The sequence below is a fragment of the Homo sapiens genome, chromosome 2 (genome assembly GCF_000001405.40).
Source record: "Homo sapiens chromosome 2, GRCh38.p14 Primary Assembly".
Lineage (NCBI taxonomy): Eukaryota > Metazoa > Chordata > Mammalia > Primates > Hominidae > Homo > Homo sapiens.
This window is the reverse complement of record NC_000002.12, coordinates 240,826,982-240,839,894: the sequence shown is the minus strand read 5'-3', so window position 1 is coordinate 240,839,894 and position 12,913 is coordinate 240,826,982. Positions and strand designations below refer to the sequence as shown.

General features: G+C 51.4%; 4 annotated features.

Annotated features, from left to right (window-relative positions):
• Nucleotides 202–702: an enhancer, noted in NCBI's record as "H3K4me1 hESC enhancer chr2:241778610-241779110 (GRCh37/hg19 assembly coordinates)". NCBI's record gives its function as "activates a minimal SCP1, AML or CMV promoter by ChIP-STARR-seq in naive H9 embryonic stem cells {active_cell/tissue: H9 hESC(naive)}" and the evidence as "EXISTENCE:reporter gene assay evidence [ECO:0000049][PMID:30033119]".
• Nucleotides 6,631–7,627: an enhancer, noted in NCBI's record as "H3K27ac-H3K4me1 hESC enhancer chr2:241771685-241772681 (GRCh37/hg19 assembly coordinates)". NCBI's record gives its function as "activates a minimal SCP1, AML or CMV promoter by ChIP-STARR-seq in naive H9 embryonic stem cells {active_cell/tissue: H9 hESC(naive)}" and the evidence as "EXISTENCE:reporter gene assay evidence [ECO:0000049][PMID:30033119]".
• Nucleotides 6,631–7,630: a biological region, named in NCBI's record as "H3K27ac-H3K4me1 hESC enhancer GRCh37_chr2:241771685-241772681".
• Nucleotides 7,161–7,630: a silencer, noted in NCBI's record as "silent region_12523". NCBI's record gives its function as "represses an Ori minimal core promoter by ATAC-STARR-seq in GM12878 lymphoblastoid cells {active_cell/tissue: GM12878}" and the evidence as "EXISTENCE:reporter gene assay evidence [ECO:0000049][PMID:35858748]".

The following is a 12,913-nucleotide window of genomic DNA, read 5'->3' as shown; positions in this document are numbered from 1 at the left end:
CAGTGTGGGCTTCAGGGAAAGTCACTCTCTGGTGACCTGCACAGGAGCTGGGACCACAGAAGGGGACGAGGGGAGAGGGAGAGAGGGCTGCTCTATGCAGATGGCGCCTCTTTTTTCCCAGAAGCCACACTCCCCCTCACAGTGCGGGGCACTGGAGGTAATTCTGACCAGCGGCTCCGACTCAGGCTGAGCCCCAGGAACTCTGGGGTGCATTTAACAACACGGTGGCCAGCCCGGGTGCACCAGGTGCCCAGCCGCCTCTGAGAACCCCTGATGGAGACGAGGAGGCAGGGGCCCTGGGATCAGGAGATGTGTCCAGCTCAACCCTCAGTGCCTTCCTCTGAAAGTGCCATGGGGGCACTGCATAGGCTCGTGAATGTTAGCATCCTGGAACTCCAGGCCACACTGCGGTGAGGCACAGATCCAACATCAAACTTCAGCTGTGGGTGAGAGGCCTCCGGCTTGGGACTGACTCTGAGTCATCCAACCGTATGCACACATGGGCTATCCCCGCCGATGGCTGCCCTGCACGGTCAGGGATGGTGTCACCAGCCAGCACCCATCTGCAGCACGCAGGCTCGGGGAGGGGGAGCTGCCTCTGATCAGGCTTCGCTGCAGGGCCTGGCTTTTCTGCTCAGCTGGCCTCCAGTCTCCAGCCGCGCCTGGGCCCCTGCTGGCCGAGGGTGTCCCGCATCCATCAGACAAAGCCAACCCTGGCCATGGGCCTCCATGTGGGTGAGGCATTGGGAAAGAGCTGGTTCTCGCTGATTTACCCACTCACCCACTTGCTCCGGAGTTTCTGTTCTTAGGTTAGGTTTTAGTCCACTGGGCTTGTGCATGGAGCAGGGAGGGTTCCTGACTTTCCCTCTCCAGAGATCCTTCACCCAAGTGCAGCTGAGAAGGTTGAGCCTTTCCCCTACTAGTTTGAAATCCCGCCCTTAGCATGTGCTACCTCTATCATTTATCTTTTTGTTGGTTCCCTTGCCAATATTGAGTTGTTTTAATTATTATGGCCTTAAAGTTGTTAGGTTGATTTGCCATAGCATAGGTAAGACTCCTCTAGTAATTTCTCTTTGACTTGCTTCAATTTTCTTCTCATTATGCACCTTTTTTTTTTTTTGTCAGAATCTTGCTCTGTTGCCCAGGCTGGAGTGCAATGGCACAATCTCAGCTCACTGCAACCTCCGCCTCCCAAGTTCAAGCGATTCTCTGCCTCAGCCTCCCGAGCAGCTGGGATTACAGGCATGTGCCACCACGCCTGGCTAATTTTTATATTTTTAGTAGAGATGGGGTTTGGCCAGGTTGGCCAGGCTGGTCTTGAACTCTTCACCTCAGGTGATCCATCCTCCTCGGCCTCCCAAAGTGCTAGGATTACAGGTGTGAGCCACTGCACCCAGCTGTATCGATGTTACTTAGATTTTCACTTTTTGTATATGTATTTAATTTTAAATATTTTGTTTCTATAGTTATATCCTCTTGTCATTTTCAAAGAACCAATCCTTTTTTTTCCTAAGTCTAATTTGTGTTTATTTTCTATTTCATGACTTGGGGTTTTGCCTTAATCCCTTTATCCTGCCCTGTTGAATCGTGTTGTTGATGTTCATTGTCTAGATTCTGAGGTTGAACATAGAGGCCAATCATTTCCAACCTTTCCTGAATTCGTATCAATGCCTTTAAGCTTGAACTTCCCTCTCACAGCACAGCGGCTGCATCCCCTTGGTTTTGATAAAGAGCATTCTCATTTTCATTCATTTCTAGAAAGATTGCAACTTCAGTTATATTTCTTCATTTAACCTAGTAAGTTTTTTAACTTCCAAGGCATTAGACATTTTTTTCTTGACCATACTTTTCTTATTTACTTTTTGTTTTATCGCTTAGGCTCAGAGAACAATAACTTGTACAATTTCTTCTTTGAATTGTTTACTGGTATTTTGAGGGGCTCTCTGCCTGGTTATGTCAATGCTCGTGGGCTTTTGAGAAAGACCCGCATGTACCAGTGAGGGTTCCGGCAGGAAACCTCTTGCTATGCTCCAGGGGCACAGCTGCAGAGAGCTTGGTGACAGGCTGCTTACACAGGTGTGGACAGGGCTGGGGACCCACCAAGGGAGGTGTGGGTGGCATTGGGGTCTTTGCCAGTGCTGGAGGGCACGAGGAGGGAGCCAGTGGTGGAACTGGACAGTGCCATTCAGAAACTAAAGCCCTCAGCAAGAGGGCAGGCTGTCTGGAGTGATCTGAAAAGGTGGGGCCAGGAGTATCAGCCCCCTCCCTCCTTACCCTCTCCTCCTGCTCTCCAGCCCTGGCAGTCTCTCCTACTGGCTGAAGCCAGAATAGAATCTGGAGAGGCCACCCTCCCAGGACACAGGGGCAGGGACAGGCTGAGGAGGTAGGAGTAGGTCTGCACAGGGGAGAAGTCCACCTCGCACACCCTGGGCTCCTCCATGGCGTGAGGTCCCTGTCTTCCCTGTACTTGTGTAAGTGTCTGTCATCAGAAAGATGGCAGGTTGCCCTGGGGAGGATGGTGTCTTACTCGGTTCCGTCCCTGCCAGCATCTAGCACTGTGGTCAAGTCCTCTACATGCTGTCCCCAGAGAACCTCTAGTCCCCAGCCTCCTGCTCTGTGTGTAGGCTGACAGCAGAATCCAGACCCAAGTCACTGGGGAGCACCCAATTTGCTTCCTCTCCTCCTCAGCTAAGGGTGAGCAGCAGGGGTGACCCCAGCTATTAGCCCCACCTAGCACACAGCACAGCGGCCCTGCAGAGGGGCAGCCCTTCCCACTGCCATGCTGCAGCTCCAGACACAGAGGAAGCTCAGGGCTTCCAGGGTCTTTGTGGATGAACAGATGAGGGAAAACTGGAGGGACTGGGAGCAGCAAAAGCAGAGGGGTAGGGGACTTGGACTGACGTGTCAACAGCTAACACTTCGTTCTGGTCCTGGTCCCCAGGAGCAGCTGGTCCTGGTCCGGGAGCAGCTGCCTGCCGACACGGCTGCGCTGCGATGGGATCTGGCCCCAGCCCAGTTGCTGCTGGCCAGACACTGAGTCAGCACCCGGCCGTCCAGTGCGCCACAAGCAGATCCCGGCAGAGCTGCCCACGCTGTGCAGATCCCCGGTGGGCCTCCCGGGCTAGAGCCCGGGGACCCATTCACTTGGGGCCCTACCAGTCCCTACCCTTGGTTGGCTGGGGGCTGCCCAGCCTGGGCCCCACCCACCCAGGGCTCTGGTTTCTGAGTCCGGGGCCCAGCAAAGCCCCTCTTTCACTCCTTCCTGAAATGGGATCATGACCCTGGTCCTACCTCTGAGTGATTCTGATGTGAGATTAGGGATTGTGCAGGGATGGGGGTGTGATCCTGCAATGACGGACTCCTAGGCCTCCTCCCAGCCCCGCAGAGTCCAAATCCCCAAGGCAGGGGCTGAGGAGGGCGAGGCTCATAGAACCCAGGACTCCTGGGGGTCCTGAGCATCTGGGGCCTCCCGGCTCTCGTGACTTCACATCCTGGCCTCTTCCCACCCACTGGAGCTCTGAGGGTCTCAGCCTCTCTCCACTTGACATCTCTTTCTTTCTTTCTTTTTTTTTTTTTTTGGAGACGGAGTCTCGCTCTGTCGCCCAGGCTGGAGTGCAGTGGCACGATCTTGGCACACTGCAAGCTCTGCCTCCTGGTTTCACGCCATTCTCCTGCCTCAGCCTCCCGAGTAGCTGGGATTACAGGCGCCCGCTACAACGTCCGGCTAATTTTTTGTGTTTTTAGTAGGGACGGGGTTTCACCATGTTAGCCAGGATGGTCTCGATCTTCTGACCTTGTGATCTGCCCGCCTCAGCCTCCCAAAGTGCTGGGATTACAGGCGCGAGCCACCGCGCCTGGCCTTCTTTCTTTCCCACTCATGCGTGTATACATACACACACACAGACACACACAGACACACACACACACACACACACACACACAGACACACACACACGCCCCTTCCCAACAAACTGTCCCAAACCTAATGTGGATAAATACAGAATGTGGTGCTAAGTGTCTCCAAAAACGCAGCAAGCCTCGGCCTCCTTTTCTGTCCACTGCACTGAGAACTCCAGGTCTGGGAGTTCCCTGTGGTGTGAAGGGCACCTGTGTCATTTGCCGCCCAAGCCGGGCACTGTGAGAGTGAAAGAGGGCATGGGCACAAAAGCACAAGGCAGGACTGTCCTGCTGGGCCTGGACACGGGGTCACCCTCAGCAGCCCCAGGGTCAGAAACTGGCGCGACTATCTTCAGAAATCCCACGTTGGTGCAATTCATCGTGGCTCCTCCTCACCCTCTTCCCCTCAGGATGACCCAGTTTTGGGTTTGGTCCTCAAGAGTCTCCAATAAACATCTTCACCAGACCTGTTTCCTGGGGCAAAAACCTGGTTGTTTATTTCTCTTTATGACTTCTATAAACATTTGGATTTTCAGGAGAAAAACAAGAAATAGGGAGTGGACACTTGTTCTTCTAGCAGAGGAATGGGAAGGGCCATTCATCTGGCATCGTCTGTCCTGCGTCCTGGTCCTGACTCCCTTCTGAGCCTCAATTTCTCCATCCGTAAAATGGGGAGGAGGCCTGGACCCCAGTCCCAAGCACAGAGTAATGATTTTGAGAACATATGTCCACTAAAACAGGATGGAACAAAAACACAGTCACTGTGGGCGAGCATTTGGAAGTGTGTAAGGAGGAAATGCTGCTTTGCATCTTCTCTCTGCCCATCTGATTCTCCGGCAGGCAAGAGGTGATCATAGCCAGGACTTCTCCTGATTGATGGCTGCCCATGCCAGGGGTCCCAGGGCCCAGCCACACACAGAACCACTTGGCGTGCTTAACTAGGAGCCCCCATAACTCACGGAGAACAATGGAGTCAGGATCTCTGAGGGATACAGCAGGGTGATTCTGATCTGCAGCCAGGGTGAGCACCCTGCGTTAGAAGGTACTACCAGCCTCCATGGCTGAGCTGGGTGGAAGCTGTTTATGAATGACGAGGATTTGGGAGGGGTGGGCTTGAGTGGGGAGAGGTCATTGCCAAGCCTTAACATTAGTGCAGAGAGAGGCTGACCTCATGCCTCCATTGGTGAAAAGCCAGGCTGGGGGCTTCCTACCAGGGAACCTGCTTCCTCCCATCCTCTAAGCACTGCCTTGCTCTGGCCCCAAAGAAGCTACTGGAGTTGGGGGAAGGGTATTCAGCCAAAGACCTGGCTCAAGTCAATCTAGAGCATCCTCTGACCCTCAGGGGCCTTTTCAAGTGTCTCAGCCTTGGTGTCTTCATTTGCAAGATGGGGGCGACAATTGTGCCTCCTTGCGCCCTCTGTGGGTGCAAGTAAACTCAGTTCAGCTACTCAGAAGTAAGCATTTTGGCCAGGTGTGGTGGCTCACACCTGTAATACCAGCACTTTGCAAGGCCGAGACAGGTGGATCGCTTGAGGTCAGGAGTTCAAGACCAGCCTGGACAATATGGTGAAACCCCATCTCTACTAAAATACAAAAATTAGCTGGGCACCTGTAATCCCAGCTACTCAGGAGGCTGAGGCAGGATAATTGCTTGAACCCGGGAGGTGGAGGTTGCAGTGAGTCAGGATTGAGCCACTGCACTCCAGTCTGGGCGACGAGCGAGACTCCATCTCAAAAAAACTCCCCAAAACCCAAAACCAAAAACCAAAAAACCAAAAGTAAGCACTTGGCAAATTCCACAGCACGGATTTGGATGGCAGGGAGGGTCAGGGTTACTGGAGAGAGCCTGGGCAGGTGTCTGTGGGCTGGGATGGTGGGAAGGGTCAGGGTTACTGGGGAGAGCTGGGGCAGATGTCTGTGGGCTGGGCCTGAGCTTCTGCCTGGCTGCCCCTTTGCTGCAGTGTGGTCTGCCTGCTCCACACCCAGGTCCCCGGCTCCACTGCAAGAGCTGGGACGTGACCAGGGCTCTGCTGGGCCTCCTTTCCCTGGACCCAGGCCAGTGGCTGATGTCCTGTCTCCGCCCCATCACCACAGCCCCAGAGCATGTGGCAAACCTGCTGACACCACTGCTGAGGTTCCTGGACCTCTGGAGAGTCTGCGCTGCACCCCAGGCCATGAGCTAGGCCAGCTCCCACCCACTGTGGAGGGGTGGACACAGCCTGGTTAAGCATTCACCATGCCCTGACAGCCATTGTTTATTGGACACAATTTACCCGCCATGAAATTGATGGGTAATCACTTCACATTCCACAAACGGAGAGGCTGGGGCTCAAAGAGATGAATGACCACCCAGGTTCGAAAGTTAGTGAGGGGCAGAGCCAGGATTTTATTCCAGCAGCCAGTTCTCAGACAACTTCACTGCTATTGTCTCATTGACATTCTCTTCTCCAAACCTGAGGACTGCAGCGTCCCCACTGTACACCTGACCCCGAGACTCTCAGAGACAGGGTGCACAGAGCAAAATAGGCGTGGATGAAACAAATGAAACCCCAACCGCACCCTTAGGGCGTCTACTGTGAGAGCACTGCCTGGACCCAGCTCTCCTCCTGGCCCTGCCCTTCCAGGCTTCCCAGGCCCGAGGGGTTCCGTGGGGGGCAGCGTCTTCCTGACCTCCATCCTGGTGTCCACAGAGCCCCCCGGGCTGACCTCAGGTGACCCCTTTGCCCACCTGGGCCCCCCGTCCGTCCTGTAAGGCAGAAAGTCTTCATGGAGGAGGAGGGGGAAGAGGCATCCCAACAGGGCTTTGGGGGATGGGGAGTCTTCAGTTTCAGGGAAAGGCTGCAAAAGCTGCAGTGAAGATGTGACGACAGGGTGGGCAAGGCCTGTCATGGTGCCCCTGAGCAGGCGCCTGGAGGGGATCTGTGAAGACCAGGTGGGCAACGGGGCCTCGGCCTGACAGGGAGCTCTGTGGGAACAGGATCCAGGGTCCATGCCAGGAACACCACCCACAGGTCACCCCTGGGAGCCATCTGAGCAAAGCTGGGATGTAAAGGGTCCTGGCTAGGCCAGCAGGATTCTGCCTGGACACTAGTGCGTCAGCTTGGAGCTAGTCCCTCCCAGCGTTTTTCGATCTTGGCCTCAGTTTCCCCATTTGTAACATGCAGTTTCCCGTCCCAAAGGGCCTTGCAACTCAATCTATGTGGCTGGACCCCAACCCCACCGCGGTGCAGCGCGAGCCCACGGAGCCCCCCACGGCTTGGCCGCACTTCAGGGTCCGGGCACGGGACCCCTCGAGCCGCTCTCACCGCAGCCGGGGAGGCCCCGCACAGGCCGCACGCGCCCAGCCGCCATAGTCTACCCCACAGGATGCTCACCCTAGCTCAGCTCGCCCCGCGGGACCCACCCGCCGTTGCTATGGCAACGGCGCTGCTGAGAGGCTAGCGAAGCCGGCAACCCGGCGGCGGAGGGAGGAGGTTGCCACGGCAACCAGGGCGCGCCACCAGCGGGGCGAGGTTTCCTGCGGGGTGGGGCCTACAGCGGAGCGGGGCCTATAGCAGGCGGGGCCTACAGCAGGCGGGGCCTATAGCAGGCGGGGCCTACAGCGGGGCGGGGCCTATAGCAGGCGGGGCCTACAGCGGAGCGGGGCCTATAGCAGGCGGGGCCTACAGCGGGGCGGGGCCTATAGCAGGCGGGGCCTACAGCGGGGCAGGGGCGGGGACGAGGCCCCGTGGAACCGCGGGGCCGCGCGGGCTGCTGGCGGCTTCTTTCCAGACTGCGGGGCTGTTGCAGTTCCACACCCTGGGGTTCCACCCAACGCCTTGGCCTGGGACTTCATAATTCACCTCTTTTAAGATGACCTGTCTTTTCACTGTTTTGTCTCTGGTGTTCTGCAGACTTGCTTTTATTTGCTATTGGGGTCCTTATTGATTCCTAATCTGAGCGTTTCTGTCTGTAGGCAATTCTGGAAAATTCTGAGCCAATATTTCTTCGAATATTGTTTCTGTGCCTTTCTGTCCCTTCTGGAACTCCGCGAATCGTTCTCCAGCGCAGGTCAGGGCATCCCCTGGCTGCGGCTCTTGGCCCGACCCCACCCTCGGGGCGTCTCTGCTGTGAGTTCCCTGCCTGGACCCAGCTCCCCTCCAGGCCCTGACCTTCCAGGCTTCCCAGGCCCGAGGGGGACCGTGGCGGGCAGCGTCTTCCTGACTTGCCATCCTGGTGTCCACAGAGCTCCCCGCACTGACCCCAGGTGATCCCTTTGCCCACCTCGGCACCCCCGCCATCCGCGCATCCCGGCCCGGTTGCTGCCTGGACGTCACAGCACATGCGTCCCCAGGGCTCAGACTGGCTGCAGCCGCCTCTCGGTGTGGCACTTGCGGGTTGTAATTTTCTGTGTAAAAAGCTGGTTTCTGTATTTTAAATTTTGTGATATATTTTTCTACAATTTATTTTTATTAGATGGAACCATTTAAAATTACCACTTTTGTAGGTCAAAAGTAGACATCAGTAATTTGATATGATTTAACCTAATATTCTTTCCACATTGGTTTATCTAGAAGTCTACGCTCTGATAGGATTTTAAAAACGTTTTCCCTAATGTAGTATTTATTAGTAGTGTAGATTCAGAATGATACAAAAGAAAGTAAAATATGAAGGCATCTTACTCTCTAACTCCAATAGCGTAAAGAGTTACACCTAAGATTAAAAAAATTCAAATCATATACACAGAAAGTGGATATATTTAAAAAGAAAGAAGTGCGTGCCTTCTCAACAACCCCCACCAAGAGTCACCCCAGCCATGACAAAGGCTGCCAACAGTTTCTCGTGATTCTTTTCAGTGAAAAAAACGGGATGAGGGGGTTACATTGTGCACACTCTTCTGTGTCCCTTCTAAACAATTTAACAACAAATCCCAGTCATCTTCCCCCATCAGCACATACTTTTGAGACTCCTTCATTTTAGACGCTTTGGAGAAATCACTCCTGTGTATGCCCCAGTCCATTTAGCCCGTGCCCACGGGTGAACACCTTGATTATTTTTTATTTTATTTTATTTTTTGAAACAGATTCTCATTCTGTGGCCCAGGCTGGAAGGCAGTGACACCATCCTAGCTCACTGCAACCTCCAACTCCTGGGTTCAAGCGATTCTCCTGCCTCAGCCTCCCGAGTAGCTGAGATTACAGGCACGCACCACCACACCCGACTAATTTGTTTGTATTTCTAGTAAAGACAGGGTTTCGCCTTGTTGGCCAGGCTGGTCTCGAACTCCTGACCTCAGGTGATCTGCCCACATCGGCCTCCCAAAGTGCTGGGATTACAAGCATGAGCCACCGCACCTGGTTGATTATGTCGTTTTTAAATCCATATTGTGATCAATATTCTTGCCTATTTATGTTGGCAAATTTTTGTGTGTGTATATAACAGGCAAATTGCTAGCCATGGAATTACTGAATTGAGGGTAGGAGCAGGCTAACGCAGGTGCATTTTGACAAACTGCTGTCCAGAAACATTGCAGTCCTTGCCCTGGACACTACCATGGCACATTTTCCCATGGGCTGGCCACACTGGACATTACTAGACATTTTAATTGTATGAAATTTGATAGGTCAAAAAACAACCCCACTGTTTTTTGTTTTTGTTTTTTTTTTTGAGACAGAGTTTCTCTCTTGTTGCCCAGGCTGGAGTGCAATGGCGTGATCTTGGCTCACCAGAACTCCGCCTGCCGGGTTCAAGCGATTCTATTGTCTCAGCCTCCTGCGTAGCTGGGATTACAGGCATGCGCCACCACGCCTGGCTAATTTTGTATTTTTAGTAGAGACGGGGTTTCTCCATGTTGGTTAGGCTGGTCTCAAACTCCCGACATCAGATGATCTGCCTGCCTCGGCCTCCCAAAGTGTTGGCATTACAGGCACGAGCCACCGCGCCCAGCCAACAACCCTACACTTTGATGTGCAGTTCTTTAACTGTGTCCATATTTTTCCCTGCTATTGGCCCATTCTCTCCCTGTTTTTCCTTCTGCAAACTGTCCCTTTGTAGTCTCTGCCCATCTCTGGGGTCATCACTCAGATTGTTTGCTGTGGGTTTGCAGAGCTCCTTACACTGTCGGAAATCCCTGCATCTTCATAATTGTGGAAATAATTTTCCCAGTGTGGGGCTGGGATTTCCATTTGGCTTATGGTGTTGGGCCATAGAGATGCTGGGGTTTTTGTGGAGTCCTCATCTTTTCAGAGGGCTCAGGTGATGTGTCACGCTTTCTCCACTCCAAGATACTGCATACGGCCACCACGTTTCATCCCAGCCCCCTAAGGTTTTGTTTTCACAAATTAATATCGATTCCCTTGGGAATTTGTCTTGATGTCACTCACATGTCAGGTGGGGATCCAGCTCTATATTTTCCCACAGTATCTGACACTGTGGGAAATAACATAGTTATTAAATGATCTATTTCCCCAAAATTATTTGAAAGGACACCTTTTATCATAAAATTTTGATCTGTTTCTTCTTCAACACTGGCATCTTTTTAATTGTGAGAATTTCATATTATGTTTTAGTGTCTTATAGGGCGGATTCTCCTCATTCTTCTTTTTAACACATTTCCTGGTTAGTCTTGCATGTTCGTGTTTCCATGTGAACTTCTGTTGCTATTTTAATTGCATGGAATGTGTAGTTGTAATTTAGAGAAAACTAGCTCTTTTACAATATTGCCTCTTCCAAAAATACACTATGCTTTTCCACTAATTTATCTCTTCTCAGTGGATTTTCAAAGTTTTCTATATAATTTCCTTATGAATGAGAAAACTGTATATTTCTTGTTATTTCCTGCCATTGTATTTATTCTTATTTTTATTTTATGTATTCTTTATTTACGTATGCATTCTAGCAATTTTTGATTGCTATTATGATTGGACTCCTCCATTACAGGTTCTAACTGGTCACTGTTTTGTGGAAAGTGTTGCCTTCTTGGTGACAATTTTTCTTATCAGCTCCTAACTTAAAAAAACTTAAAAAATATTTCTATAACTTTAGGGGTACAGATGGTTTTTGTTTTGTTTTGTTTGAGACGGAGTCTCACTCTATCGCCCAGGGTGGAGTGCAAAGGCGCGATCTTGGCTCACTGCAACCTCTGCCTCCTGGGTTCAAGCGATTCTCCCGACTGGATTCAGCTACTTTCCCGAGTAGCTGGGATTACAGGCATCCACCATTATGCCCGGCCAAGTTTTGTATTTTTGTAGAGACAGGGTTTCACCATGTTGTCCAGGCTGGTCTTGAACTCCTGACCTCAGGTAATCCACCTGCCTCGGCTTCCCAGAGTGCTGGGATTACGGATATGAGCCATGGTGCCTAGCCTACAGGTGGTTTTGTACAGTGGTGAAGTCTGGGCTTTTAATTAACTCTTCACCTGAAAAGTGTACATTGTATCCAATATGTAGTTTTTCATCCTGTTCCCCACTCTCATCCTTCTCGCTTCGGAGTCTCTAGTGCCCACCGTACCACTCGATATGCTTTTGTGTACCTATAGCTTAGCTTCCACTTATGAGTGAGACATACAGTATTTGGTTTTCCATTCCTGAGTTACTTCCGGTACCATAATGGCCTCTAGTTCCATCCAAACTTCTGCAAAAGGCATTATTTCGTTCATGTTATGGTTTAGTACTATTCCATGGTGTATATATACCATACTTTCTTTATCCACTCATCGGTTGATGGGCACTTAGGTTGAGTCCTTATCTTTGGAATTGTGATTTGTGCTGCAATAAACATGTATATTGATAGTTTTTAAAGAATTTATATAATGATTTTCTTTTGAGTAGATACCCCATGCTGGGATTGCTGGACTGAATGGTGGTTCTACTTTTCGTTCTTTGAGAAATCGCCGTACTGTTTTCCACAGCGGTTGTACTAATTTACATTCCCATCAGCCGTGGGTAAAGCAGTCCCTTCTCACCACATCCGTGCCAACATCTATTTTTTTTTTTTTACTTTTTAATAATGCCAGCTCCTAACTTATTGTTCCCTATAGCTTGTCACTCATCCCTTAAGTTTTCTAGATAGATGATTATATCATCTACAAATAATAACTTTGTTTCTTCCATTCTAATATTTTAACCTGCTATTTAAATAGGAAAAAACAGCTGTTTATTCCCTGTACTGAACACTTGATACCAAATGTGAGGGTTATTTTCTCCACACCATCCAATTATCCAACTCTTCTGACGCCAGCTGGGTGTTCTACAATTTAGTGATGACACCAATTAGCTGGAATTAGCGCAGACCCCGCCGGTTAAGGACTTGGCCTCTGAAGACCACCCCCACTTCAGATGCCAGTGGAAAGTGGTGAGCCCTAGGTTACCCACACATACGTTCAACTTGGCTACAAATCAGAAGCTTCCAGGACCCTCTCCTCAGGCTCAATAATTTGCTGACAGCTCACAGAATTCAGAGAAACATTTGCATGTACTGGATTAGTATGGAGGGTCTAGAAGGGCTCCGAGTGCAGGAGCCTCTGTTCCTATGGAGTGGAGGGCACCACCTTCCTGACACGTGGGTGTGTTCACCGGCCCAGAAGCTCTGCAAACCCTGTCCTTTAGGGATTTTTATGAAGACTTCCTGTGCTGGTCTGTTCGGCTGCTAAAACAGAACACCTCAGACTGGATAATTGATAAACAACAGAAATGTATTGCGTATCATTCTGGAGGCTGGGAAATCCAAGATCAAGGCACCAGCAGATATGGCGTCTGATGAGGGCCTGTTCCTCGTGGGTGGTGCCTTCTATGGGTCCTCCCCTGGTGGAGGGGAGAAGGGGCTCCTCAAACTCTTTAACAAGGGCACTAATTCTGTGTGTGACAGCTCCAACCTCATTACTCAGTCACCTCCTAAGGGTCCCACCTCTTAATACAATCACATTGGGGATTAAGCTCCAACACATGAATTGAGGGAGGACACCAGCATTCGGACCATGGCACTTCATCACACAGCCTGACCTGCTGCTCAGTTGCCAGCCTCTCTCCTCTCCCCAGAG